The 26,767-nt window shown below is 49.4% G+C and overlaps 1 long non-coding RNA gene across 1 annotated transcript, besides 4 other annotated features; it reads right to left on the reverse strand.

Moving 5' to 3' along the window:
* Window positions 1-8,880: 8,880 nt before the first annotated feature.
* Window positions 8,881-18,755, reverse strand: CECR3 (cat eye syndrome chromosome region, candidate 3). The gene is made up of 3 exons (NR_038398.2): window positions 18,545-18,755; window positions 12,812-13,067; window positions 8,881-10,328 (listed from the first exon to the last, which is right to left on the reverse strand). It is a non-coding gene; the product is annotated as a cat eye syndrome chromosome region, candidate 3 (long non-coding RNA).
* Window positions 12,827-13,412: an enhancer, noted in NCBI's record as "H3K27ac-H3K4me1 hESC enhancer chr22:17741695-17742280 (GRCh37/hg19 assembly coordinates)". NCBI's record gives its function as "activates a minimal SCP1, AML or CMV promoter by ChIP-STARR-seq in primed H9 embryonic stem cells {active_cell/tissue: H9 hESC(primed)}" and the evidence as "EXISTENCE:reporter gene assay evidence [ECO:0000049][PMID:30033119]".
* Window positions 15,551-16,377: an enhancer, noted in NCBI's record as "H3K27ac-H3K4me1 hESC enhancer chr22:17744419-17745245 (GRCh37/hg19 assembly coordinates)". NCBI's record gives its function as "activates a minimal SCP1, AML or CMV promoter by ChIP-STARR-seq in primed H9 embryonic stem cells {active_cell/tissue: H9 hESC(primed)}" and the evidence as "EXISTENCE:reporter gene assay evidence [ECO:0000049][PMID:30033119]".
* Window positions 16,378-17,204: an enhancer, noted in NCBI's record as "H3K27ac-H3K4me1 hESC enhancer chr22:17745246-17746072 (GRCh37/hg19 assembly coordinates)". NCBI's record gives its function as "activates a minimal SCP1, AML or CMV promoter by ChIP-STARR-seq in naive and primed H9 embryonic stem cells {active_cell/tissue: H9 hESC(naive and primed)}" and the evidence as "EXISTENCE:reporter gene assay evidence [ECO:0000049][PMID:30033119]".
* Window positions 21,525-22,513: an enhancer, noted in NCBI's record as "H3K27ac-H3K4me1 hESC enhancer chr22:17750393-17751381 (GRCh37/hg19 assembly coordinates)". NCBI's record gives its function as "activates a minimal SCP1, AML or CMV promoter by ChIP-STARR-seq in primed H9 embryonic stem cells {active_cell/tissue: H9 hESC(primed)}" and the evidence as "EXISTENCE:reporter gene assay evidence [ECO:0000049][PMID:30033119]".

Below are 26,767 nucleotides of genomic sequence, written 5' to 3' on the forward strand. Positions count from 1 at the left end.
ATTGGATAGAACGCTGCGGATTCCAGGCTTCGTTGTGATTGGATAGAACTTAGCGGATTCCAGGCTTCCTTGTGATTGGCTAGAACTCTGCGGATTCCAGGCTTCCTTGTGATTGGATAGCTCACTCTGTGGATTCCAGGCTTCCTTGACAGTAACTGGCTTAGGAGTAGGCATATGACCCATTCTACTCAAAGAGGCATAAGCGGACACTGACGTTTGCTGGCAGGGGATGAGGAGCTTGGAAAAGATCCTCCTCCCGTTTTGCCATCTTTGTTTCTTGCCACAATAGGATGTAACCATTGGCGCTGCAGCAGCCACCCTGCGACCATGAATGGAGAGCCAAGAGAATGGCAGAGGGTAAAACACAGCTTTCCCATTGTTTTGTTTTCTTTTGTTTTGTTTTGTTTTTTGTTTTGTGACAGTCTCAAACCGTGAGACGAATAAAACCTCTTTTTTTTTTTTTTTTTTTTTTTTTTTTGAGATGGGGTCTCGCTCTGTCACCCAGGCTGGAGTGCAGTGGCATGGTCTCGGCTCACTGCAAGCTCTGCCTCCCGGGTTCACGCCATTCTCCTGCCTCAGCCTCCCGGGTAGCTGGGACTACAGGCGCCCGCCACCACGCCCGGCTAATTTTTGTATTTTTAGTAGAGACGAGGTTTCACCATGTTAGGCAGGATGGTCTCGATCTCTTGACCTCGTGATCTGCCCACCCCGGCCTCCCAAAGTGCTGGGATTACAGGCGTGAGCCACCGCGCCCAGCCAGAACCTCTTTTCTTTATAAATTACCCAGGTATTCCACTATAGCAGTGCAAACACATTGCTCGCCACTAACACAACCCTGTGCCTTTCTTTTTCCTTTTGAGACGGAGTCTTGCTCTGTCACCCAGGCTGGAGTGCAGTGGCACAATCTCGGCTCACTGCAACTTCTGCCTCCCGAGTTCAAGTAATTCTCATGCCTCAGCCTCCCAAGTAGCCGGGACTACAGTTGTGTGCCACCAGGACTGGCTAATTTTTGTATTTTTAGTAGAGACAGGGTTTCACCATGTTGCTCAGGCTGGTCTTGAACTCCTGACCTCAAGTGATCCGCCTGCCTCGGCCTCCCAAAGGGCTGGGATTACAAGTGTAAACCACCACACCCAGCCAAGCCTGTGCCATTTTAAAGGTAGGGAAACCAAGGCTCAGGATCTTAAGTGACTTGTCCAAGATCAAAAAGCCGAAAAATTGGCTGGATGTGGTAGCTCACCCCTATAATCCAGTACTTTGGGAGTCTGAGGTGGGAGGATCACTTGAGACCAGGAGTTCCAGACCAGCCTGGACAACATAAGGAGACTTCATCTCCATAAAAATTTTTTAAAAATTAAGCTGAACATGATGGCAAATCCCTGCAGTCCCAGCTACTAAGGAGGCTGAGGCAGGAGGATGGCTTGAGCCCAGCAGTTTGAGGCTGCAGTGATTCATGATTGCATAACTGCACTCCAGCCTGGGAAAAAGAGCAAGACCCTGTTTCTAAATAGATAAATACTGAATAAATAAAATGAAATGTTTTAAAAGCTGAAAAATTAGGCTGGGCACAGTGGCTCACGCCTGTAATCCCAGCACTTTGGGAGGCCAAGGCAAGTGGATCACTTGAGGCTAGGAGTTCAAGACCAGCCTGGCCAACATGGTGAAATCCCATCTCTACTAAAAATACAAAAATTAGCCAGGCATGGTGGCGTGTGCCTGTAGTCTCAGCTACTTGGGAGGTTGAGGCAGGAGAATCGCTTGAACCCGGGAGGTAGAGGTTGCAGTGAGCCGAGATGGCACCACTGCACTCCAGCCTGGGGGACAGTGTGAGACTCCGTCTCAAAAAATATTGAGACTCTGTCTCAATAAAAAATAAAAATATTGGCCGGGTGGCTCACGCTTGTAATCCCAGCACTTTGGGAGGCTGAGGCAAGTGGATCACCTAAGGTCAGGAGTTCAAGACCAGCCTGGCCAATATGGTGAAATCCCATCTCTATTAAAAATACAAAAATTAGCCGGGCATGGTGGTGCGTGCCTGTAGTCTCAGCTACTTGGGAGGCTGAGGCAGGAGAATCACTTGAACCTGGAAGGTAGAGGTTGCAGTGAGCCGAGATGGCACCACTGCACTCCAGCCTGGGCAACAGTGCGACACTCCGTCTCAAAAAATAAAATAAAATAAAATAAAATAAAATAAAATAAAATAAAATAAAATAAAGCTGAGGCCAAGTGTGGTGGCTCACGCCTGTAATCCCAACATTTTGTGGATTACCTGAGGTCAGGAGTTTGAGACCAGCCTGACCAACATAGCGAAACCCCATCCCTACTAAAAATACTAAAAATACAAAAAATTAGCTGGGCATGGTGGCAGATGCCTGTAATTCCAGCTACTTGGGAGGCTGAGGCAGGAGAATCGCTTGAACCCAGGAGGTGGAGGTTGCAATGAGCTGAGATCGCATCACTGCACTCCAGCCTGGGTGACAGAATGAGACTCTTTCTCAAATAAAATTAAAATAAAATAAAAATAAAATAAAATAAAATAAAATGATAAAATAAAATAAAATATAAAATAAAATAAAATAAAAAATAAATAAAATAAATAAAATAAATAAATAAAATAAAATAAAATAAATAAAATAAAATAAAATAAAATAAATAAAATAAATAAATAAAAAGCTGAAAAACTGCAGAGCTTAGTCTGTGTCCAAAGTCTGTTGTTTCCTTATGTGATGCCACATCACCGCTACTCAGTTCCAGGACAAGGAGACCAGAGCTGTTGTCAAGCTCCTGGTAGGTCCTTCAGCTGCAGCCCATGCTCTCTGGGTGACTGATTTCTGGCTGTGGGTTCTTGCCCCAGAATCTGAGCCTGAGCCGGCCTCCTGAGCATGGTGGGGAAGTGGGACTCCCTGCTTTGGTGCACATCCAGAGATTAGTTATAGGAGCTTGCCGAGGGAAGTCTCCAGGCTCCACCTACTGCCACTTCTGTCTCTCTTTTGCCTTTTCTCCACCTAGGAGTGGAAGCCTGACCCAAGCCTCCACCCTGGAAATGGCCTGCCAGTGACAGCCTCCAGTGGAACGGCAGAACCACAGGCAACATCCAGGATGTGTTCTTGCCAAAAATGTTTTATCAGCATCAAATCAAGCATCTTAGATCTAAATTTCAGTTTGCAGGAAATATGCAGATAAAGAAACAAGTTAAATAACATGGCAGGGAAATAATTAGACAAATTCACAATGTGGATCATTAAAACAGCTCTTTCTTCAAAAGTCTATAGGTGAAGGGATTGTTCTAGATTAAAATAGATTTAAGAAAAATAACAATAAAATGCAACGTGTGATCCTTGATTAGGTCCTGGCTTAAGTAAACCAGCTACAAGAGATATTTAGGGGTAAACGGGGAAACTTGAATATGGCCTTGTTATTCGATTTAATTAAATAATTATTTTGGGCCCAGCCACGCCTGTAATCCCAACACTTTGGGAGGCTGAGGAAGGTGGATCACTGGAGCCCAAGAGTTTGAGAAGAGCCTGGGCAACATGGCAAAACCCTATCTCTACAAAAAAAAAAAAATCAAAAATTAGTGGGTTGTGGTGGCGCATGCACCGGCCTGAGCAACATAGCAAGACCCGATCTCTAAAAATATAAAAATTAAAATATAGGCCAGGCATGGTGGCTCACGCTTGTAATCCCAGCACTTTGGGAGGCCAAGGCAGATGGATCAAGAGATCAGGAGTTTGAGACCAGTCTGACCAACATGGTGAAACCCTGTCTTTGCTAAAAATACAAAAATTAGCCAGGCGTGGTGGCATGCACCTGTAATCCCAGCTACTCAGGAGGCTGAGGCAGAAGAATCACTTGAACCCAGGAGGTAAAGGTTGCTGTGAGTAGAGATCGGGCCACTGCACTCCAGCTTGGGTGACAGAGCGAGATTCTGTCTCAAAAAAAAAAAAAAAAAGAAAAGAAAAGAAAAAAAGAAAAAATTAAAATATAAAAATAAAAAAATTAGCCAGGTGTGGTGGCACACACCCATAGTTCTAGGTATTTGGGAGGCTGAGGCGGAAGGATCTCTTTAACTTAGGAGTTCAAAGCTGCAGTGAGCTATGATCACACCACTGCACTCTATCCTGGGCAACAGAACAAGACTCTATCTCTAAAAAATATTTAAAAATAGGCCAGGCACGGTGGCTCACACCTGTAATCCCAGCACTTTGGGAGGCTGACGTGGGTGGATCACCTGAGGCTGGGAGTTTGAGACTGGCCTGACCAACATGGAGAAATTCCGTCTCTACTAAAAATACAAAATTAGCCAGGCATGGTGGTGTGTACCTGTGATCCCAGCTACTCGGGAGGTTGAGGCAGGAGAATCGCTTGAACCTGGGAGGCAGAGGCAAAGGTTGTGGTGAGCCTGGGCAACAAGAGTGAAACTCCGTCTCAAAAAAAAAAAAAAGAAAGAAAACAAAAATTAAAAAATAAATAAAATAAAATAAAATGGCTAATATGGTCAATTTAAAAAATAAATATTTTGGCCAGGCGCGGTGGCTAACGCCTGTAGTCCCATCACTTTGGGAAGCCGAGGCAGGCGGATCACATAAGGTCAGGAGTTCAAGACCACCCTGGCCAACCTGGTGAAACCCAGTCTCTACTAACAATTCAAAAATTAGCCGGACATGGTAGCACGCCTCTATAGTCCCAACTACTCAGGAGGCTGAGGCAGGAGAATTGCTTGAACCCGGGAGATGGAGGTTGCAGTGAGCCAAAATCCCGCCACTGCACTCCAGCCTGGATGCCAGAGCGAGACTCTTTCAAAAAATAAAATAAAATAAAATAACAGAGAGAAAGAGAGAGGCCAAATAGGCAAATATTGTAAAAAGTTTATCTTTGTTGAATCTAGGTGGTCAATTATGTGCATATTCTTTCTAACTTTCTCTATGTTTGAAATTTGCCGTAATAATAAGTTTGAAAACTAGATGGAGATGTAAAGACAGGGCCTCTCAGCTGATGGTGTTTGCCTACCTGGTTCCCTCTCTTGGTCTTCTGCCCAGATATTGGCCCCACTGCTATTCCAGCCTGGATCCCCTGAGGCTTGAATGAGTTTAGGGACTTGCTGGGCCCCTAGAATCAGACCAGGAAACACTCGATCTGGGGCTGGACAACTAAGGCAGGATTCTTAATTGGTATATTAGAGATGAAGACAAACATGTCTCCCATAAGGGCAGCCTTTGGGAGACACAGCCCCTACACAGAAAAGCGAGAGTCCCTCCTGGGCATTTCTCCCAGTGTGAAGAGGAACACAGTAAAAGGATTAGCAGCAAGGATGGACCCAGAATTTAGAGCCATTTACAAGGGTACAAAATCATTCCTGGCTACAAAGGGTAAAAATGAGAAAAGAGGGTAAAATGAGAAATGAACACGGTGGCTCACGCCTGTAATCCCAACACTTTGGAAGACCAAGGCGGGCGGATCTCTTGAGGTCAGGAGTTCAAGACCAGCCTGGCCAACATGGTGAAACCCCTGTCTCTACTAAAAATACAAAAATTAGCTGGGCGTGGTGGCACGCGCCTATAATCCCAGCTACCAGGGAGGCTGAAGCAGGAAAATCACTTGAACAAAGGAGGCAGAGGTTGCAATAAGCCGAGATTGTGCCACTGCACTCCAGCCTGGGTGACAGAGTGAGACTGTCTCAAAAAAAAAAAAAAAAAGAGAGAGAGAGAAAGAGAGATAAAAGAATAAAAGTTTAGGACGGGCGCAGTGGTTCACGCCTGTAATACTAGCACTTTGGGAGGCCAAGGCAGGCAGATCACCAGGTCAGGAGATCGAGACCATCCTGGCTAACATGGTAAAACCCCATCTTTACTAAAAATAAAAAATAAAAAAAATTAGCTGGGCGTGGTGGCGGGCGCCTGTAGTCCCAGCTACTTGGGAGGCTGAGGCAGGAGAATGGTGTGAACCTGGGAGGCAGAGCTTGCAGTGAGCTGAGATCGCGTCACTGCACTCAAGCCTGGAGAACAGAGCGAGACTCCGTCTCAAAAAAAAAAAAGAATAAAAGGTTAGCCGGGTGTGGTGGTTCACGTCTGTAATCCCAGCACTTTGGGAGCCCAACACGGGCTGATCACCTGAGGTCTGGAGTTCCAGACCAGCCTGACCAACGTGGCAAAACGCCATCTCTACTAAAAATACAAAAATTAGCCAGGCATGGTGGTGGGCGCCTGTAATCCCAATTACTTGGGAGGCTGAGGCAGGAGAATCGCTTGAACCTGGGAGTCGGAGGTTGCAGTGAGCTAAGATCGTGACATTGCACTCCAGCATGGGTAACGGAGTGAGACCCTGTTCCAAAAAAAACCAAAAAAAGTGGCAAAAATAGACTTAAAGAATTTTTTTTTTCCTTGAGATGGAGTCTCTCTCAGGCGTGATCTCGGCTCACTGCAACCTCCGCCTCCCGGGTTCACACCATTCTCCTGCCTCAGCCTCCCGAGTAGCTGGGATTACAGGTGGCCGCCACCATGCCCGGCTAATTTTTGTATTTTTTAGTAGAGACAGGGTTTCACCATATTGGCCAGGCTGATCTCGAACTCCTGACCTTGTGATCCACCCACCTCAGCCTCCCAAAGTGCTGGAATTACAGGCATGAGCCACCGTGCCCAGCCAAGAATATTTTTTGAGGATTGTAAGCTCCTTTAGGAGGAGAACCACGCCTGGCTTGCTATCTCCCCACCAGAACCCCCATCTCTATCACAGGGTCTTACACAAAACAGGTACTCCAAAAAAAAAAACTTTAAAAATTCATCAGTTCTTGATTCTCTCATCTAACCTGGTGTAAATGGCTGAAGTAGAGATGGGTGGGATCTAGGCCTTTGGACATTTGACTGCATCACAGATGCTGAGGCAAAACCCACCCGCCAGGAGACTGCTTGAATTTTCACTAGAATGCCAGTCCTAGCCTTGGAGTTATGGCTTGAGCCTAGGAGTTCAAGCCTAGCCTGGGCAACATAGGGAGACCCCGTCTCTAGAAAAAATTTAAAAAATTAATTGGGTGTAGTGGTGCATATCTGTAGTCCCAGGCAGCCAGGAGGCTTGCCTAAGCCCAGGGGTTTAAGACTGCAATGAGCTATGATTGTGCTATTGCACTCCAGCCTGGGAAAAAGAGCCAGATCCTGTCTTAAAAAAAAAAAAATGGTTAGGGCCAAGTGGGGTGGCTCACGCCTGTAATCCCAGCACTTTGGGAGGCTAAGGCAGGTGGATTGCCTGAGGTCAGGAGTTCAAGACCAGCCTGGCCAACATGGTGAAACCCCGTCTCTACCCAAAATACAAAAATTAGCCAGGCATGCTGGCGCGCGCCTGTAGTCCCAGCTACTTGGGAGGCTGAGGCAGGAGAATCGCTTGAACTCAGGAGGCGGAGGTTGCAGTGAGCTGAGCATCACGCCACTGCACTCCAGCCTGGGCAACAGAGTAAGACTGTCTCAAAAAAAAAAAAAAACAGGTTAAAACATAATAAAAATGGAGATTTTAATAGCGCCTCCCTCACTAAATAATCCCATAGGATAAAGGATGTAAAACTTCTGCCACAATGCATGATACATATATAGCAGGCACTCAAGAAAGAATAGCTGGTATTATTCTTGTTATTATTGCAACTATAGTCGATAAAGCCTTTGTAAGTACAATCTACCAGAATACATTTCTTAAGGCTAAGTTTCTTAAATGTAACAAATAAATTCCACTATCACCTTTGAAATCCATTTATCAGTCCGCTTGGTTTATTTTCCCATGTTCTTTAGGTTGAAGGGAGAAATGGGAGATGTTTGACAGAATTTTTTTTTTTTTGATGGAGTCTCGCACTGTAGCCAGGCTGGAGTGCAGTGGCACGATCTCAGCTCACTGCAACCTCTACCTCCCAGGTTCAAGCGATTCTCCTGCCTCAGCCTCTCAAGTAGCTGGGACTACAGGCACGCACCACCACGCCCAGCTAATTTTTGTATTTTTAGTAGAGACGGGGTTTCATCATATTGGCCAGGATGGTCTCAATCTCCTGACCTCGTGATCCATCCGCCTCAGCCTCCCAAAGTGCTGGGATTATAGGCACGAGCCACCGTGCCCAACCTTGACAGAATTGTTTTCGGAGAGTTCCATTAAATTTGGCCTCACCAATAGGTGGGTCCACTCTATTCGGATAAGGACTAAGTCAACCGTTATCTCTGTATTCCTTTGGGTCCAGCAATGTCAGTCACAGAGTAAGTGCTCAAAGAAACGTTTGATAAATGAAATGGAATCCATCTGAAGCCCAAGAGCACTTACCTTATATAAAGCAGAGCTCAGGGAGCCTCCCTGGGAGGTAGAAGGTGCAGGAGCCATTAATCCCATAGAAATCTGAACCGGAAATGCTCAAGAAGATGGTATGCTGGAGCTTCTGCCCTTTGGAACCCCTGACCTGCAAGAGGCAACTCCCAGAGCTTCCCTAAGATAAAAGTTTTAACTGGTGCCTCAGCCAGGGAATCTGGGTTTGGGAAAAAGACAGCAATTCAAGCTGGCTGTCTGACCAACCAACCACCATTAAGGGGTAATTTTTCGTTGTTGTTGTTTTTGTTTTATACAGAGTCTCGCTCTGTCGTCCAGGCTGGAGTGCAGTGGCATGATCTCAGCTCATTGCAACCTCTGCCTCCCAGGTTCAAGTAATTCTCCTGTCTCAGCCTCCCAAGTAGCTGGGACTACAGGCACCTACCACCACGCCCTGCTAATTTTTCTATTTTTAGTAGACATGGGGCTTCAACTTGTTGGTCAGGCTGGTCTCAAACTGCTGACCTCAGGTGATCCACCTGCCTCAGCCTTCCAAAGTGCTGGGATTACAGGCTACAGGTGTGAGCCAACACACCCCACCTAAGGGGCGATTTTATTGGGTTATCCTGTCTCTGGAGAAGGAAACAGGCCACAGTCAATGAAATTAGCATTCTAAAAGCAAGAGAATCTGTAAAGTAGAAAAGGACCTTGAGATGGGAGCATGCGTTTTACACAGGAAGGCCCAGATTTGGCCCAGTCTGCCCCAAGACCACCTAACTTGTCAGTAGCAAAGCTGGGATGAATAAAAGCTCAGCTTCCTGACTCCCTGTCCCCAGTTCTTTCCACCACTCCAGCTGGCCACTCCCAATCCCCCTGCTAAGCCAACCCACCTACAGTGTCACTGTCCCTCATTCCCAAATCCCTTACTCAATCCCCCACAGCCTTTTCCATCCTTCCTGCCTTCCTAGCGCTATAGGGTTGGCGGGGCAGAGTGCTCAGAGACCAGCAAGCTGGGATGTGGGGTCTTCCCGAGGTGGTGCAGGATGTTTTGGCTGCTTAGAGGAGGAGCAGGGCAGGCATCTGCAAAAGGCATCTGCATTTCTTACACACTCCCTAACTGCCAGGCCCAGTGCCAGATCGCAGACCCTTTGTCAACAGAGATGCCCTGGCTTTGTAAACCAAGAGGGAGGCAGAAAAAGTCCTCTAGCAACACAGACTGGCCTCTGGGGGAGGCGGGAGAGGGAATTGTCTACGAAAGTTCTCATTTAAACAAACAAACAACAAGATGAAAATAATAAGCTAGGCAAAGAGCCAAGGGGGAACAGCAAGCAAACTCCTGAAATTGCACTGTAATTAAAGCATAGCTGCCTTCCAGATTCTCAAGTGCTGAGATGGGCTGGAGGGATGTTTACTAACCTGGTCAAAAGACATCAGGGCAAATTAAGCTCATCCCAGCCTTGCCTCCAAACACTTTAGAATGCAAATGAGACATGCCAAATTTGCATCTGGGGCATGAAGGGGACCAATAAGTAACCTGTACAGGTCTTGAGCGTTTGGTGAGAAGAATCCAAACTGGCCACTGTGAAGGGAGGCACTGGGGAATGCTGAGCAGGGGGTGGGGTGGCTATCCTGTTTCACCAGAGATGATTTTTTTTTTGGTTTGGTCCAGGCCGATCTCGAGGCTAGGAGCTAGCTGACTAGCCCTCCAGGACCATGCCAATTCACATATGAGAGTACACCAGACTTAGGCCCAGGAAGATTTACATGAGTTTGTGCCAGTATTAACCCCCGGAGATGCCTACCCAATCAGAGCCATTGCGCCAAGGCAAGGAAGGCATTGCCAGGGCGTTTGCATGACAGAAACTAGCATATGGGCTCAAGAGAAACCTTTCTGGGCAGGGGGAGGGAGGGCCATACCCACATGAATCACTCTCTGGTGGTTTTGCTTTGGTTTCAGAACCTGTGGCTAAGGCAGAAGGACCAGTAGGGCCCCTGGCCGCGTTGATTTTTCTCCTCCCAGCTGCTTCTGTCTCTCTCTCAGGCTCCTGGAAACAAAACAGCTGAGCAGATAAACAAGTCACCACCTGCACCCTCCTCCCCCGTGACACCGCCCCTGTCCCCAAGTCCCACCCCTTCTTCTTGCACTCTCTCCCTCCATTCCTCCCTGAAGCCAAACTTCCGGCAGCAGCTGCAGCTGCTCTCTCCCCTCCCATGCCTGCCTCCCCAGCACAGTCCCCTGCCGCAGCCCCTGCCCCACCAATGGCAAATGAGGAACATGTGTATAGAGCCCTGGGCTCTCCCTCCTCCTGAGGCCATTTCCAACAAAACACTTGTGCTTTCTGAAAGTAAGATGTGGAGCTCTGGAGTCCCCAAGGAAAACGGGTTTATGGCATCCGCCAGCCCTGGAGCCAGTGAGTGTCTGGCCCCTTGGCCCAGAGCCCCACTGCCAGGCACAGGCAAACTGGGAGGAAGGGGTTAATCTGAGCAGAGGAGGCCAGGAGGGGCCCAGTTCCATTCCCGACTGCAGGGGATGCTCATCCCCGGGATGGAGGTCAGCAGGAAGCAGCTCAAAGAGGCCAGGAGGCCAAGGCCCAGTTTAAACACTGAATGAAGGCCACCTTTTCAGTAGCATGCACATGTGTGCATGCACACACACGTACACACTCATACACACATGTTACCATGCACATAGTATCCTCTTATTAACAACGTTAAGGTTGTCACGACAGACTCTGGGTTTGGTGTCGGAAGCCCTGCATCAGGGCTGTTTAATAAGTCCCCAGCGCCAATGGTAGGCACTATGGAGGCCCAAACTGTTGGGGAGGGGAACCTCAGAGTGCCTTCTCCCAGGGAGGGGTGTGTGTGCCAGGAGCTGGGTGATGGAGCTCCTCCAGAGCTTTTCTTGGAAGTTCAGAGTTTAACTCTGGGTTAGTAGGGCTCACCTTAGTTCTGAGGCATGTAGGTGAAGACACTGCAATTAGGAAGGTGATGGGGCAGGGGACTAGCCTGTCTTCACCCCCAGGCTTATGTCTGTCTTTCTTCCTTTCTTCCTTTTCTTTCCTTCCTTCTTCCTTCCTTTCTTCCTTTCCTTCTTTCCTTCTTCTTTCTTTTTTTTTTTTGAGATGGAGTCTAGCTCTGTCACCCAGGCTGGAGTGCAATGGTGCGATCTCAGCCCACTGCAACCTCCGCCTCCCGGGTTCAAGTGATTCCCCTGCCTCAGCCTCCCAAGTAGCTGGGATTACAGACACCCACCACCACGCCCAGCTAATTTTTGTATTTTTAATAGAGACGGGGTTTCACCATGTTGGCCAGGCTGGTCTTGAACTCCTGACCTCAAGTGATCCACCTGCCTTGGCCTCTCAAAGTGTTGGGATTACAGGCGTGAGCCACCGTGGCTGGCCCTTTTCTTTTTTCTTTTTTTTTTTTAAGAAGCAGAGTCGGCCGGGCGCAGTGGCTCACACCTATAATCCCAGCACTCTGGGAGGCCCAGGTGGGTGGGTCACGAGGTCAGGAGTTCAAGACTAGTCTGGCCAACATAGTGAAACCCTGTCTCTACTAAAATACAAAAAATTAGCCAGGCATGGTGGCGTGTGCCTGTAGTCCCAGCTACTCAGGAGGCTGAGGCAGGAGAATCGCTTGAACCCAGGAGGCGGAGGCTGCAGTGAGCCAAGATCGCACCACTGCACTCCAGCCTGGGCGACAGACAGAGTGAGACTCCATTTCAAACAAACAAACAAAAAGAAAAAAAGAAAGAAAGAAAGAAAAAGTAAGAGTCTCGCTCTGTCTCCCAGGCTGGAGTGCAGTGGGGTGACCTTTCCTCACTGCAGCATTGAACTCCTGGGCTCAAGGAATCCTCCCGCTTTAGCCTCCTGAGTCTATAGGTGCACACCACCACACCCAGCTAATTTTTAAGTGTTTTGTAGAGACAGGGTCTCCCTATGTTGCCCAAGCTGGTCTCAAACTCCTGGCCTGAAGCGATCCTCCTGACTTGGCCTCTCAAAGTGCTGAGATTACAGTTGTGAGCCACCATGCCCAGACCACATTTCCCCAGAACTCTATCTTTCCTGCTTGTGGACAAGGCAGGGGATGGATTTGGCGTCTGAGAAAGACAAACACAACCTTTAATTTGCTGACTGTCTCATACCTGTCTGCACAGCCTGCTGCTGTTTCGTGTGGAAAGTAACAGTAGCCTGGATAGCTCACAGCTGGGTTTGAAACAGTTAATGGCTGAGTGACCTTGAACAAATTACTTGACCTCCCTGAGCCTGTCTTCTCATTGGTAAAATGTTAACAATATCTGGCTCTGACTCAGAGTTAAATTACTCTTTTGTTTTTCAGGTGGAATTAAGTGACAAGGCAAAGCTAATGTAAGATACATAAAACACCAAAAACACCAAGCATTCTGCCGTGAACCCATTTGGTGCTCAATAAAATCATTGCCCTTTTTTTGGTGTTTTGTTGGAGACAAAACGGAAACACCAAATGGCTGGTGGAAGTGGTAGGAAAAAAGGAGACCAAAAACCCAGTGGCTCTGAAGAGGTACCTGCAGACCCACTGGGCAGGGTAGAGAGGAGCCCAGTGGGAACTTTTCTGCCAGGAGGAATCAGCGGGCAGAGCTCTTCTTCCCATTTGTCCAGCAGGGCTTCTCATCCTCAGCACTGCTGACATTTGCGCCAGATATTTCTTTGTTTTGGAGGCTGTCCTGTGCACTGTCGGATGTTTAGCAGCATCGTCAGCCTCTACTCTCCAGGTGAAGTAGCAAGTTGTCTGCCTCCCGCAGTTATGACAATCAGAATGTCCTGGTGGAGGGGGGCAGAATCACCCTGTGAGCTCCGCTATAGAGCTCAGAGCCCCACCTCCTTTAGGAGTCTGAGCCAAGGCTGCGTCCACAGGAGGGAGTCACTGACGGTTGGAGGACTGATATTCACCAATACCTTTCCCACAAACAAGAGATGCCTGAGAAAGACCTGGTCATGCAGGAGGTGGTGAGTGGCTACTGGAAGAAATATGGTGGCTGGGGGAGGGGCAAGGGAGAAGTCTGCCTGCGGTTGAGCAGGCTGGCTGGAGAGCCAAGGCCAGTGCCCACTAGTGACTCTCCCGAGGGGTGTTGCCTTGGTGGGCTTCCCCGCTCTGGCCTTTTGTCACCTTGTTTGCTGAATCCAGGTAAAATTTTTGACCAAATTGGAAAGCAATTCCGGGGAGTTGGAGTCAGATCTGTCCCTACCCTTGCTGTTGCTAATGAGCTGTATGACCTTAGTTGAGCCATTTGATCTCTCTGCAACTGTTTCTTGGGCTGTGAAACATGGGGGTTGGAGTCTCTGATTTCTAAGGTCCTTTTCAGCTGTAAGTTCTAAGGCCTGTGAATACCACAGTGTGATGAAGCCAACTGGGTGGTGGTGAGGGCCTTGTAAGTTTCAGTCTTACTGCAAGCCGGCGATAGAATTCTCCCCATGTCTTTGTTAAGAACTCTTGGCCGGGCACAGTGGCTCATGCCTGTAATCCCAGCATTTTGGGAGGCCGAGGCAGGTGGATCACCTGAGGTCAGGAGTTTGAGACCAGCCTAGCCAAGATGGTGAAACCCCGTCTCTACTAAAAATACAAAAACTAGCTGGGCGTGGTGGCTAGCGCCTGTAATCCCAGCTACTCGGGAGGCTGAGGCAGGAGAATCATTTGAACCCAGGAGACGGAGGTTGCAGTGAGCCGAGATTGCGCCACTACACTCTAACCTGGGCGACAAGAGCAAGACTTCGTCTAAAAAAAAAAAAGAACTCTTGTTGCTGAGAAATACTTCAGGAGTTCCTACTGTGTGCGAAGCAACGTGCTCTCTGCTGTGCATGTGGGGAGGTCTTTCCCCCTTTCCTCTGAGGGCTCATAATCTAATAACAGATAAAAATAATTCCAATAAAAGGCCATAAATGCAAAATGTCTCATCCTTTCCACCGGCTTCAAAGTCAGGAAGATCTGAGTTTGAGGCTAGGTCCACCATTAGGAGTCCTTGGGTTACTCGGCTCATTTAATCTCAGTTTCTTTACCTGTAAAATGGTCATAATAACAACTGTGTCACAGGGTTATTTTAAGAGTTAAATGAGATTATATATGGGCTGGGTGCGGTGGCTCACGCCTGTAATCCCAGCACTTTGGGAGGCCAAGGCGGGTGGATCACGAGGTCAGGAGTTCGAGACCAGCCTGGCCAACATGGTGAAACCCCATCTCTACTAAAAATACAAAAATTAGCCAGGCGTGGTGGTGCACGCCTGTAATCCCAGCTACTCAGAGTACTGCTTGAACTTGGGAGGCGGAGATTTCAGTGAGCCAAGATTGCGCCACTGCGCTCCAGCCTGGGCGACAGAGCAAGACTCCATCTCAGGGGAAAAAGAAAAAAGAGTTAAATGGGCCTGGTGCAATGGTTCACACCTGTAATCCCAGTACTTTGGGAGGCCAAGGCGGGCAGATCACTTGAGGTCAGGAGTTGGAGACCAGCCTGGCCAACGCAGCGAAACTCAGTCTCTATCAAAAATACAAAAAGTAACAGGGCTTGGTGGTGCACACCTGTAATCCCAGCTACTTGGGAGGCTGAGGCAAGAGAGTTGCTTGAACCCAGGAGGAAGAGGTTGCAGTGAGCTCTGGCCTGGGCAATAGAGTGAGACCCTGCCACAAGGAAAAAAGAAAAGATAATATTTGTAAGACAATTACCATGGTGGTTGTCACATCATTAAGTGCAAAATAATTGTTAGTGGCAAGTATTTATTGGCTATAGTGCAGCAGGCACTGTGCTAGGCCCTGAGATAGTGGAGATGAGGGACAGGACTCCTGGTCTGCAGCAACTCACCAGCAGGTAGGGAAAGAAGCAGGGAGCAATGACAGTACCCTGAGAGGGCCGTGACAGAGCCAGGTGGGAGAGGCATCGACACGGGGAGGGCAGCAGGCGCTGACTGCGGGCTCAGGCAGGCATGTGAAGTAGTGACCGCACTGCCTGTTGAAGCAGGGCCAGTGGTGTTCACCGGAGTTAAGCAGACAGAGCAGTGGGGAGGTGGGAGAAGCTCAGGTGCCAATGAGCCCGACCCTCAGTGCTTCTGCAGAAGTGAATGCAGTCAAGCAAGGTGGAGTGTGCATGGGATGATGGTAAGAAATGAGCCTGAAGGTTGGCGTCAGAAAGAAGGGACGTACACAAGAAATGTTTCCTTTATATTAGACACACTATTTCCCTTTTTGACCTAACCACCAGGCAGCTCGGAACCAACTTTTAGGTTCAAATGTTGCAGCACTTCCTTGAATCCTACTTTTCTGATGGGCTTATTCCTTAGCCCCAGCTTTCTCTAGACCCTGGATCTCAACCTTTAATCTGGTTTTGGGGTTTCTGGCACTTGTGCCATTAATGATAAACTGCCTTGAATCTTTTTGGATACACTGAACATATGTGGTGTGTAAATAAACAAATGAACTATAAAATACAAACATGCACAGATAAGAGTGAAGTCAGAGCCTTTAGAGTGCGCTACGCCAGGGCGGCAGCATCCCTGGTGCCCGGTCAGCGCCTGGCACATCATAGGAGCGCAATCAACAGCGGGTGACACAGAATGGCGGCAGAGAACATTTCACCTAAAAGAAGGCTTCTCCACAGAGCACACCAGGACGGACCCCCAGAACCACTGGCTGGCTGTATCCCACCTTCAGGTTCTTGATTGGAGACTCCTTCATGTATCGTTCACTGATCCTTGTGGCTGAAAGTCTTGTTGCTCCAGCCAGATGGCAAACTACACCTCAAGGACAGACACTTGTCATACATGCCTGTGTCCCCCAGAGCTGCACCCAGCACAGAGCTGGTCACAAAGTGGCCTCCCCAAATTTCTGTGGCTTTAGCCTAACAAACACCTGCAATTCCTTATAGCTGAACAAAGATGAATGACCCTAACCCGTTCAAGTCAGGCTGGACTCCTTCCACTCTGATCATACATTTGGTTTTACAAAGCGCTGAGCGACAGGAAGAAAGAATGGCTCTTACTGGCCGAGTTGAAGGGCTTCGAGCACATTTTTCTCAACAGCACAATCTGGCTCCCTGACACAAAAGGCAGGGAAAGGAAGGGGCAGCGGCTCCCAATGAACAGAGACGGATGGCGGCCGGGCCTCTGCCGCCACTGCTGTGCCCACTGGGCAGACCAGCCACATCTCCTGGCTCAGGCCAAAGACTAGGGCAGATGACACATGGGGTACTCACAGGAGAGCTGTGCTCAGGGCTTCCTGCTGGCCCCGGAACCTTCCAGAATGGCCTCTCACACACTCCCCGCCCTCCCTCCTTCTCTCTGTCTCTCCCGGAACCTTCCAGAGTGGGCTCTCACACACTCCCCTCCCTCCCTCCTTCTCTGTCTCTCTCTCTCTCTCAGTGAAAGGACTTCCTTGGCAAGAGTGTCAGGTTTCAGTTGTCTGTGTCCTGGGAAATTACAAGATCTTTCCCCTTTCTCTTTTTAGCTAGGATTACACATGCAGAGCCATTTGGCTCCCCTGGCCTGCGCAGCTGCTGCCGGCCGGGCCGGGGGATCATGCCAGGCAGCCCAGCCAGAGGTGAGCTGGGTCACAGGGGTGAGCTGCCAGGCCTGCTCACCCCTCTTCTTGGTGTGATCCCCTCAAGTCCAATCCCCAGGGACCTTCCCCAGGAATGCTGAGAGCACCAGCTGTCCCGGCCATGTCAGGCATCTGGCCACCAGGTCTCCTTCCACTCCAGGGGCAACCACCGCCAGAGGGAAAAACGGAAACACCAGGTTATTTGTGATCTGCATACTCACTCCTCGTTTAGAGAGACAAGCAGGAGGCCAGGGGAATAGATGGGACTGTGGGAACAGCCAAGGGCAGAGGGTGAAGGGCGGCGATCAGAAGGAAAGACGGAATGCCCACACATTCCCTGCCGCTCCCGGCTCCAGCCGTGGAGGAAGCGGGGCTCGGAGGACATTGCACCAGACAGGTCTTGTTTAGAAAATTGGAAAAGAACAAATATTGATTACAAGAGTGCAGGAGAATGGGCCCTTCCATCATCAAAAACAGGTATTCAGCCAGGCGAAGTGACTCACGCTTGTAATCCCAGCACTTTGGGAGGCAAAGGCAGGAGGATCGCTTGGGCCCAAGAGTTTGAGACCAGCCTGGGCAGCATGGTGAAACCCAGTCTCTACAAAAAATACCAAAAATTAGCTGGGTGTGGTGACGTGTCTGTGGTCCCAGCCATTCGGGTGGCTGAGGTGGGAGGATTGCTTGGGCCCGGGAGGTCGAACCATGTTCACACCATGGCATTCCAGCCTGGATGACAGAATGAGACCCTGTTTCTAATAATAACAGTAATAATAATAATAAAATACATACTCACTAGCTATGACTCTGCTTTACAGGATAATTGGGGCAAAAATGTTCTTGGGTGAAACTGGGTAACCTAATTTGAAAGGTCTGGGAAACATGGCCCAATTTCAGCCTCGCTCGCCACTCACAGGCCAAGTGGAGGTTGCGGTTCATAACATACTGGACACTAGACATCACTAATGCCTTCATTCTACAAATGGGAAAACCATGGCTGAGAGGTCACCTGATCTCCCAAGTTCACTCAGAGACGTGGGGATGGGCCGAGCTCCAGAGCCTGGGCCTTGCCCTGCTCCACCCCATACAGCACGAAGTTCCCTGGCCAACTAAGGAAGGAGTGCAAGGTGACTGAAGAAAACAAAAACAAACAGAACTGACACAAAAAACAAACAAACAAAACTGAGTGCCAAAGAAGGAGAATTTGGGGGCTGAGGCTGTGGCTGCAGAGTGGGAGTGGGGATAATCAACGCTGGGCTCCTGAGTGTCTCTGGAAGGGCGGGCCCTGGTGTCCAGAGCGCCTGGTGCCCACCTTCCCCTTTCCCCCAGGGCCCCTGTCTGAGAGCTCTTCTACCCACTCCTGGCTGCTGGGGCACCTGATATTTTCCAAAACACAATTTTCACACCCTTAATAGTGGGCTGCGGAGGAGTCAGGATCAGAGCCTCTAGCTCAGATTTCCTTCCCTGAAAGGATACGGTCTTAGAAACTGCATGCTGTGCAGAGTCCTATCATTCAGAAGAAACACAAAACCCAAGCCCTGGGGAGTCACGTGGCCACCACGGATGCCCCGGCCTCGGACTAAGCTAAGGGCATTAGCCCGGGTGGCCTGTAGCTGCTCTGCAGCTCTGATCAGTCCTACAGACACATGGCACCCCCCACCTGTCACCTTTAGGACCCTCCAGTCAGGCCCCCTTAAGATGCAGTGTTCCCCATGCTCACCTTTGAGGCTTACTCTGCTGCTAAGGAAACAGCATGCAACTTCCCAGGGTTATGAGAAATAATTTTCCTAGGAATGTCACCAGCTGCAGACGCCCCTGTCATAAACTGTCCCAGCTCTAAGCCGCCTAGGGCTTTTATCCCCTCCTCTTAGCTACTCATTACCCAGCTTAATTAGGCCAGGAAATGCTGGCGCTGAAGACACTCTCGGCAGGAGGCAGGGCTGGAGGAGAGATTCTCAGCAGCGCCACTTCCTGAGGCTTGATCTGGGGGCTGGGGAAGGCTGTGGAGGAGGTCGGCTGGGGATGGCAGGCTGCGTCCTCCAGTGAACAGCTGCTGGGAACGAAGCAGGGATGCACGCATTTGCTCCCCAGGCCCTCCAGGGAGCTGAGGGTTGCACTTGTTTACGGTAACAGCACCGGATCTGAAGGCCTTGGAAGGCTCTGCCTGCCCCCACCCCAACCCTCCCATCTCAATTAACCAGCTTCACCACCCCACCCCCACTCTTTCCTAGGGAAGAGGTTGAAACCTCAGTTACCACTCACAATATTTCAGCCCCAACCCTGACATAATCACAGTCAAAGACCCAGCCTGAGATGCCTTCCATTTTCAGCCAGCCCCTGACCTTCACCCTGAACCACCTTGGTCATGCACAACCTCCTGGTTCTTCACTAGGTGGAACACAGGAATGGGGTTGCCTGCTATAGAGCTGTATGTGCTTCACCCAGTTTTGGAGCTTTCTGCTCCAGTGGCGTTGGAAGGGGAGTAGCAATGTTGAGGGTTCATAGAATGGGGTTTATATCAGACAGATGGGGGTCTAGACTGTAGCTCTGCCCCAGGTCATTCTGTGACCTTGAATATGCTATTTCATTTTTCTGCACCTAAGTTTCTTTAGCTGCAAAAATGGGGGTGCTAATATCGGCTTCTTGGGAGGTTGAGATGATCTTATATCCTTATAGTAGACACAGGCAAATGTTCAGTAAGAAGTGGCCGGTATCTCCGATGTGGGGCACTAGTTCAGAGGCCTGCAGTTACCAACTTTTCTTTGCTGGGAGGTATGGAAAGGGGAAAACTAGTATTAATGAGATCCCGCTATCTGTGGAAGGTATTCATACTTACACGATTTTCCTTTCATTTCCCAATTATCTGTGGAGGCTTTGAGATTTAAATGAGTAAACTGAGGCTCGGAGAGGGTAGGAGGGTGAGTCATGCCTCATGAGTGGCAGAGCAGATCATACAACAGGGCTACGGCAGATGCCCAGGGCTGCTGAGTCTGGGACTGCTTCGTGGCCTGGAAATGTCAGAATGACACCAGTCTAGGCCAGGCGCAGTGGCTCAGGTCTGTAGTCCCAGGACTTGGGGAGGCCGAGGTGGGCGGATCACTTGAGGTCAGGAGTTCGAAACCAGCCTGGCCAATATGGTGAAACCCGTCTCTACTAAAAATTCAAAAATTAGCCAGTTGTGTTGTTGGGCGCCTATAGTCCCAGTACTCAGGAGCCTGAGGCACAAGAATCGCTTGGACCCGGAAGGCAGAGGCTGCAGTGAGCTGAGATCAAACCATTGCATTCCAGCCTGGGCGTCAGAGCGAGACTTATCTCAAACAAACAAACAAACAAAAGAATCACACCAGCCTAGAGCGAGTAGGATGACTAGAATCTCAGCAGCCACAGCACCAGGTGGATCATCGCCCTGGAGAGGGGAATATGAGGGCTGAGTCACAGTGTCATCCAAAAAGGACTTGTCAGCCTCTGCAGAGGCTGCCTCTCACCTGCGGAACACGTACCCACTGTGCTGTAAGTCCTGGAGCAATTTGCTTCAGCCTTCTCAGGTGTATGGTTTTATGCCTTGGCTTTTCCATTGTGTCCACATTTTCTCAGAAAATGCAAACTTCTTGAGAAGTGACCTCATTTCCCTCACCTGCAGCAAGACAAACGTAATTCTTGGCACTCAGATATGCAATAGTGCTGTGATTTTAACTTTTCTATGTAACTGTAACTTTGAAAAGTACTCTCCCATTCCACCAAGCAAAAAAAGAAAAAAAAAAAAAAGCCCCAGGGCAGGGGTGGAGGGATTGGGGCGTAAGGGGAACCTCCAATTCCATCCAGAGGAGGGCACTAGTCCATCTGCTCAGGCCCTCCACACATCGAGGTGCTCCTAGGTCCCCAAGAAAATCTCTTGATCCACCCAAAGAATCCCAAACTACTGACCATTGGTTTCCAAGGTCCATGAGTCATGACACTCTTAGACTTACTTAGCTGGTAAGATGCTTCTCATTTGAAAAACACAAAATCAAGAAAGCTCCTGGCTGAGCAGCTAGAGGCATAAGAAACCTTGGAATCCTAAACCATCAGGGTCTCTGGCTTTGTCAGTCTCTGTTGGGATCCTAGATAAGTGAAGTCAGGGGTAAAGAAAATAAATCGGCAGCTTCCCAGGGTGCTGGAAAGGCTGTCAGGCAGAACTTCCTTCCATGTGGCTCCAGGGAGCAGAACTTGGGTAAAGCTTCAGAAAGGCCGCTGTGGGCTTCACATGCAGCTGTTCCTAACCCCTGGGGCTGTCAGGAATTCTGTCTTGCTAAGGAAGGAAGGCCAGGCAGTGCAGGTGCAGGTGGGGGTTCTGGGGAGGTGGGTGCTGGGGGACTGTGCACCGAGGAAGATGTGGGGCCCTCAGGGTCACACCTCCCACCCCCAGAATTCTACAGACAAAGATGCTGTGATGTATAACTAGGAAAGGTGAAGGTGGGGGGACAGCCACTGAAACAGAGCCAGGATGTTGAGCTCTAACCCAGGGATTTTCCTCTCAACACCATCTGGGGCACGCTTTTAGAGCATCTCCCCTCCCCATTCACTCTACACCTCCTTTCCACCCACCGGGAGGCTCCATCTTCCTCAGTTGACTCCCACACAGAGGCAGAAGAAGGAGAAGCTGCCTCCACCCTGAGGAGCTTGGGGGCAAACATCTGCTCCCTACCATTGTTTCCCCTTATTTAGTGGGTGGGAAGGACCTGGCAGAGCTCTTCAGCCAAATCACACACCCAGGTGGCAGTTTGGTGAACCCTCCTCCAGGGTAACTGGGGAAAGCTGAAAATGCCTGTTGGCCTGACAGGGGTTTTCAGAGTGTCACTCCCATGCTGAGTGGGTGGGGCGGAGAGGTGACATTCACCCTCCTCGGCAGCACCCCTTATGTCCCTCGTGTGTTCTCCGGCTGCAGAGCCCAGTGAGGCTATGCAGTGACAGATAGTCACTTGTGCCTCTCTCTCCCTTCTGCTCCCCCCCGCCCCTGCCACTTCTACCCACCCAGGCTTGCAGCAGAGGGCCTGGAGTCTTGGGTGTGGGCAGGTGTTTATCTCATCAGACAACTAAAGTTTTGCCAGGGCTGGGCTGCGGGTTCACGCATTCACCTGCTGACCTGCTTAGGAAACACAGGGCAGGGTTTTGTTCCAGTGCCTTCCTGGCAGCCACACCCACTTAACACCAAATTCCCAATGCCAGGTCTGAGACAGAGGGGATCGCAGTGGAGACTGCACTCGCTTCAGCAGTTACCAGCTCTGGTAATATCTGTTGAGCAACTGCTCCATGGCAGGGCTGGGGAGGTGGCCCGTGAACAAATTGGCCAGGGCAGGTCCCTGCTCCGACCTGTGGTGCTTGCAGTCACCGTCTGGGGAGGGACTGCAAAACCACACAGACAGTACGACAGACGGTGCACCATGAGGAGAAGGTCTGGCTTCCATGAACATGTGCCACAGCGGGAGCAAAGTAAATGAGATTGGAGGGGGCCAGGAGGAAATGACATTGAAGCTCAGAGGAAGAGAATTTAACCAGGACTGGACTGTCTTCCGGGGGCGATCAGAGCAAAGGCGCTAAGATGACAGGAGCCACTATGCGTCTGAAGAAGCCAGGTGGGTGCTGACTCACAGTTCTTATTCTGGTCTTTCTCATGACTTACCTGTGGCCTGACCCACAGCCCTTCATTTCTCCCTGGACAACGTGGCTGTCCAGAGGAGAGGAGACTGGGCGTCCAAAGTACTGCCAGCCCCTGCGTTGTTATTATCGATTACAACGTGTTATTTCCAGCTTCTACCCTCTCCACAAAAAAAAGAGCCTTCTGGGAGAGGACACCTGCCCAGACATAGCCTGGACTCCGCAGGGGTTCCCACAAGCACATCCAGGCTCTGTCATTCCCTCCTTGTAGATGATCTGGCAAATTTGGAGTTTGACTCCTAATTCTGCTGCCTCAATCCCTGCCCCTCCCCTCACATGAGCACTGTGGACGGTCGCATGTGCGCTTCCCCTGTTGAACTCAGACACGCATGCATGCCAAAGGGAATCATACATTTCTTCTAGAATTTATTTTTCTTTTCTTTTTTTTTTTTTTTGAGACAGAGTCTCGCTCTGTCGCCAGGCTGGAGTGCAGTGGCTCAATCTCAGTTCACTGCAGCCTCCGCCTCCTGGGTTCAAGCAATTCTCTGCCTCAGCCTCCCAAGTAGCTGGGATTACAGACACCCACCACCATGCCCGGCTAATTTTTGTATTTTTAGTAGAGACAGGGTTTCACCATCTTGGCCAGGCTGGTCTTGAACTCCTGACCTCGTGATCCACCCACCTCAGCCTCCCAAAGTGCTGGGATTGCAGGCATGAGCTACTGCACCTGGCCTAGAATTTCTTTTAACTGAATAATTTATCTTCCATTAATACATGTGCTTCTATCCTTGTTTGTTTTTCGTTTTTGTTTTTTTGTTTTTTTGAGACAGAATCTCGCTCTGTCGCCTAGCCTGGAGTGCAGTGGCGCCATCTCGGCTCACTGCAAGCTCCGCCTCCCGGGTTTACACCATTCTCCTGCCTCAGCCTCCTGAGTAGCTGGGACTACAGGTGCCCGCCACCACGCCCGGCTAATTTTTTGTATTTTTTTTAGTAGAGACAGGGTTTCACTGTGTTAGCCAGGATGGTCTCAATCTCCTGACCTCGTGATCCACCCCTCTCGGCCTCCGAAAGTGCTGGGATTACAGGCGTGAGCCACTGCGCCCGGCCCTCTCTTTGTTTTTATTTTTATTATTTTTATTTATTTATTTATTTTTGAGACAGAGTTTCGTTCTTGTCGCCCAAGCTGGAGCGCAATGGCGCTCTCTCAGCCCACTGCAACCTCTGCCTCCCTCATTCAAGCTATTCTCCTGCCTCAGCCTCCAGAGCAGCTGGGATTACAGGCATGCACGACCATGCCTGGCTAATTTTGCAGTTTTAGTAGAGATGGGGTTTCTCCATGTTGGTGAGGCTGGTCTCGAACTCCCAATCTCAGGTGATCCGCCCGCCTCTGCCTCCCAAAGTGTTGGGGTTACAGGCGTGAGCCACCGTGCCTGGCCTCTCTCTTTGTTTTTAACTGCTTCATTGTTTTACTTAGTCTGGATGTCATAATTTATTTACTTGTTTGTTTGTTTATGTTTTTAGAGTCAGGGTCTTGCTCTGTTGTCCAAGCTGGAGTGCAGTGGTGTGATCATGGCTCACTGCAGCCTCGACCTCCCAGGCTCAAGAGATCCTCCTGCCTCAGCCTCCTAAGTGGCTGGGACTACAGGCATGCACCACCATGCCACCAAATTTTATATTTTTGGTAGAGAGGGCCTTGCTGCTTTGCCCAGGCTGGTCTCAAACCCTCAACCTCAAGCTATTCTCCCACCTTGGCCTCCCAAAGTTGCAATTACAGTTCTTATCCACCAGGATGTGATGATTTATTTAATGATTTCCTTATTGATAGATATTTTGGGTCCCCCTTACCTTTTATTTATTTCTCTCTTTTTTTTGTGTGCTATTTTACCTAGGGTTACTTTTTAATAAGGTGAACTTAAGGTGGGTTGGAGTTCAGATTTTTTTTTTTTTTTAGAAAACTTACAACAGATAAAGATGAGGAACCCACCACTAACGATGTTGAATTTGTTTTTGTTTTTCTTGTAATAAGTCCTATTTGGAACCTTGGCCCATTTGCTACTGGGCCAGCCCCCTCCTGCTAGGATGACCTTAGCCCCCTGGGCCAGCCCTGCTTCCCCAGTCCCTACCCCCTGGTGCAGTGGTGATGAGACACCTCCCTCTGCTTCCTCTGAGCCCTCCTTCGACACTGATAGGCCGGGCTCACCCTTGCAGGGCTGGAATTTGCCAAGCTTGCCTCCCTCCCTCTGGGAATGAGCACTCCCCACCCCTCCCCCTTCATTTTCTCTGGAGCCTTTGGGACAAACAACTCTCTAGGACGGAGCTACCTCCTAAGGGAGGCCCCTCTGGCCTCTTCCCTGGCATCTGTGACCACCTGCGTCTGCCACAGCTTCTCTGGTCCAGCCTGACCTGATGAGTCTATTTGTACTTCCTCACTGTCTTCTTTGAACCTTGATTTCTGAGGAAGTTTCCAATCCCACCCCCAGCCAGAGTCCTTCCTGTTCTCTCATGATGTTTCTCCCCAGCTCAGGGCCTTTTGTTTTCCACCCCAACCCTCCCTGCAAGTTTGTCCCCCTTTGCCAGGAGCTCTCCAGCCCAGCAGCCTCTCTTCTTACTAATCTCTTTTCCAAACGCTGTCTTCTGTAGCCAGGTCTACCCAACAGAAAGTGAAGAAGGTTGGCAATTATCTAATGAGTCCACACAATGTAGACAGCCAATTAAAATATCCTTGACACAACCAATCCCCTCCGCTTTGTTGAAAGCTGAACTCCAGTGAGGCCTGCCCCTGACAAAATCTGTCACACAATCTAGATGATTGGGGTGACAAGAACCGATGTTTATCTAACTAGCAAGTGAGAATTTCAGCTTTCTCTAGGTCTGGCTGCCATCTCTCCAAATAAAGGATAGTCCAATGTACCCACAAACAAATAAACGAAACAAAAGAGAAAACACACACCACAAAAACTGCTTTCTTAGAGTTGGTGTCTAATTGTGAACTGAAGTCCACCCTCAAAATAGGAATTTCTGTGGAAGGTACTGTTTTTGTGGTGACTCGAATCCCAGCGTTCTATCTGTAGGTGCACCCTGGTGCAAAACACAGTGCACAGTGGAGTGCTGTAGCTTTCGCGTCTCCAGGGACTTTGACGTCCCTCCCTCTTGCCTTGTTGAAAAATTCAAACTAGAAGAATCCTATGAAATAAAATGCAATTAATAAGCACTCTTTAGGTGTTTAGGGTTGGTTAAAGACAGAAGCCAGGGCCGGACGCGGTGGCTCACACCTGTAATCCCAGCATTTTGGGAGACCAAGGCAGGCAGATCACCTGAGGTCAGGAGTTCGAGACCAGCCTGATCAACATGGAGAAACCCTGTCTCTACTAAAAGCAGAAAATTAGCTGGGCGTGGTGGTGCATGCCTGTAATTCCAGCAACTTGGGAGGCTGAGGCAAGAGAATCACTTGAACCTGGGAGGCGGAGGTTGCGGTGAGCCAAGATCACACCATTGCACTCCAGCCTGGGAAAGACAAGAACAAAACTCTGTCTCGAAAAAAAAAATAGCTGGGCGTGGTGGCGGGAGCCTGCAGTCCCAGCTACTTGGGAGGCTGAGGCAGGAGAATGGTGTGAACCCGGGAGGCAGAGCTTGCAATGAGCTGAGGTTGCGCCACTGTACTCCAGCCTGGGTGACAATGCGAGACTCCGTCTCAAAAAAAAAAAAAAAAAAAAGAAAGAAGCTACTTCTCTGACTGCACAGTTATCTTCTATTTGACAATTTGAGTCAGAACATTTAATCTTCCACTTCAATTATTTACAAAACACTTAAATTATTTTAGTTATTTTCTTTCTTTCTTTTTTTTTTTTTTTTTAGTAGAGACAGGGTTTCACCGTGTTAACCAGGATGGTCTCGATCTCCTGACCAAGGATGGTCTCCATCTCCTGACCTCGTGATCCGCCCACCTCAGCCTCCCAAAGTGCTGGGATTACAGGCATGAGTCACCGCGCCCGGCCTATTTTAGTTATTTTATTAAACTGACACTAGATGTATTATTATTATTATTTTTTTTTCAGATGGAGTTTCACTCTTGCCCAGGCTGGAGTGCAATGGCCCGATCTCAGCTCACTGCAACCTTCGTCTCCCGGGTTCAAGTGATTCTCCTGCCTCAACCTCCCAAGTAGCTGGGATTACAAGCACCCGCCACCATGGCTGGCTAATTTTTGTATTTTTAGTAGAGACCATGTTTCGCCATGCTGGCCAGGCTGGTCTCGAACTCCTGACCTCAGGTGATCTGCCCGCCTCGGCCTCCCAAAGTGCTGGGATTACA

Source organism: Homo sapiens, chromosome 22 (genome assembly GCF_000001405.40).
Source record: "Homo sapiens chromosome 22, GRCh38.p14 Primary Assembly".
Taxonomy (NCBI): Eukaryota; Metazoa; Chordata; class Mammalia; order Primates; family Hominidae; genus Homo; species Homo sapiens.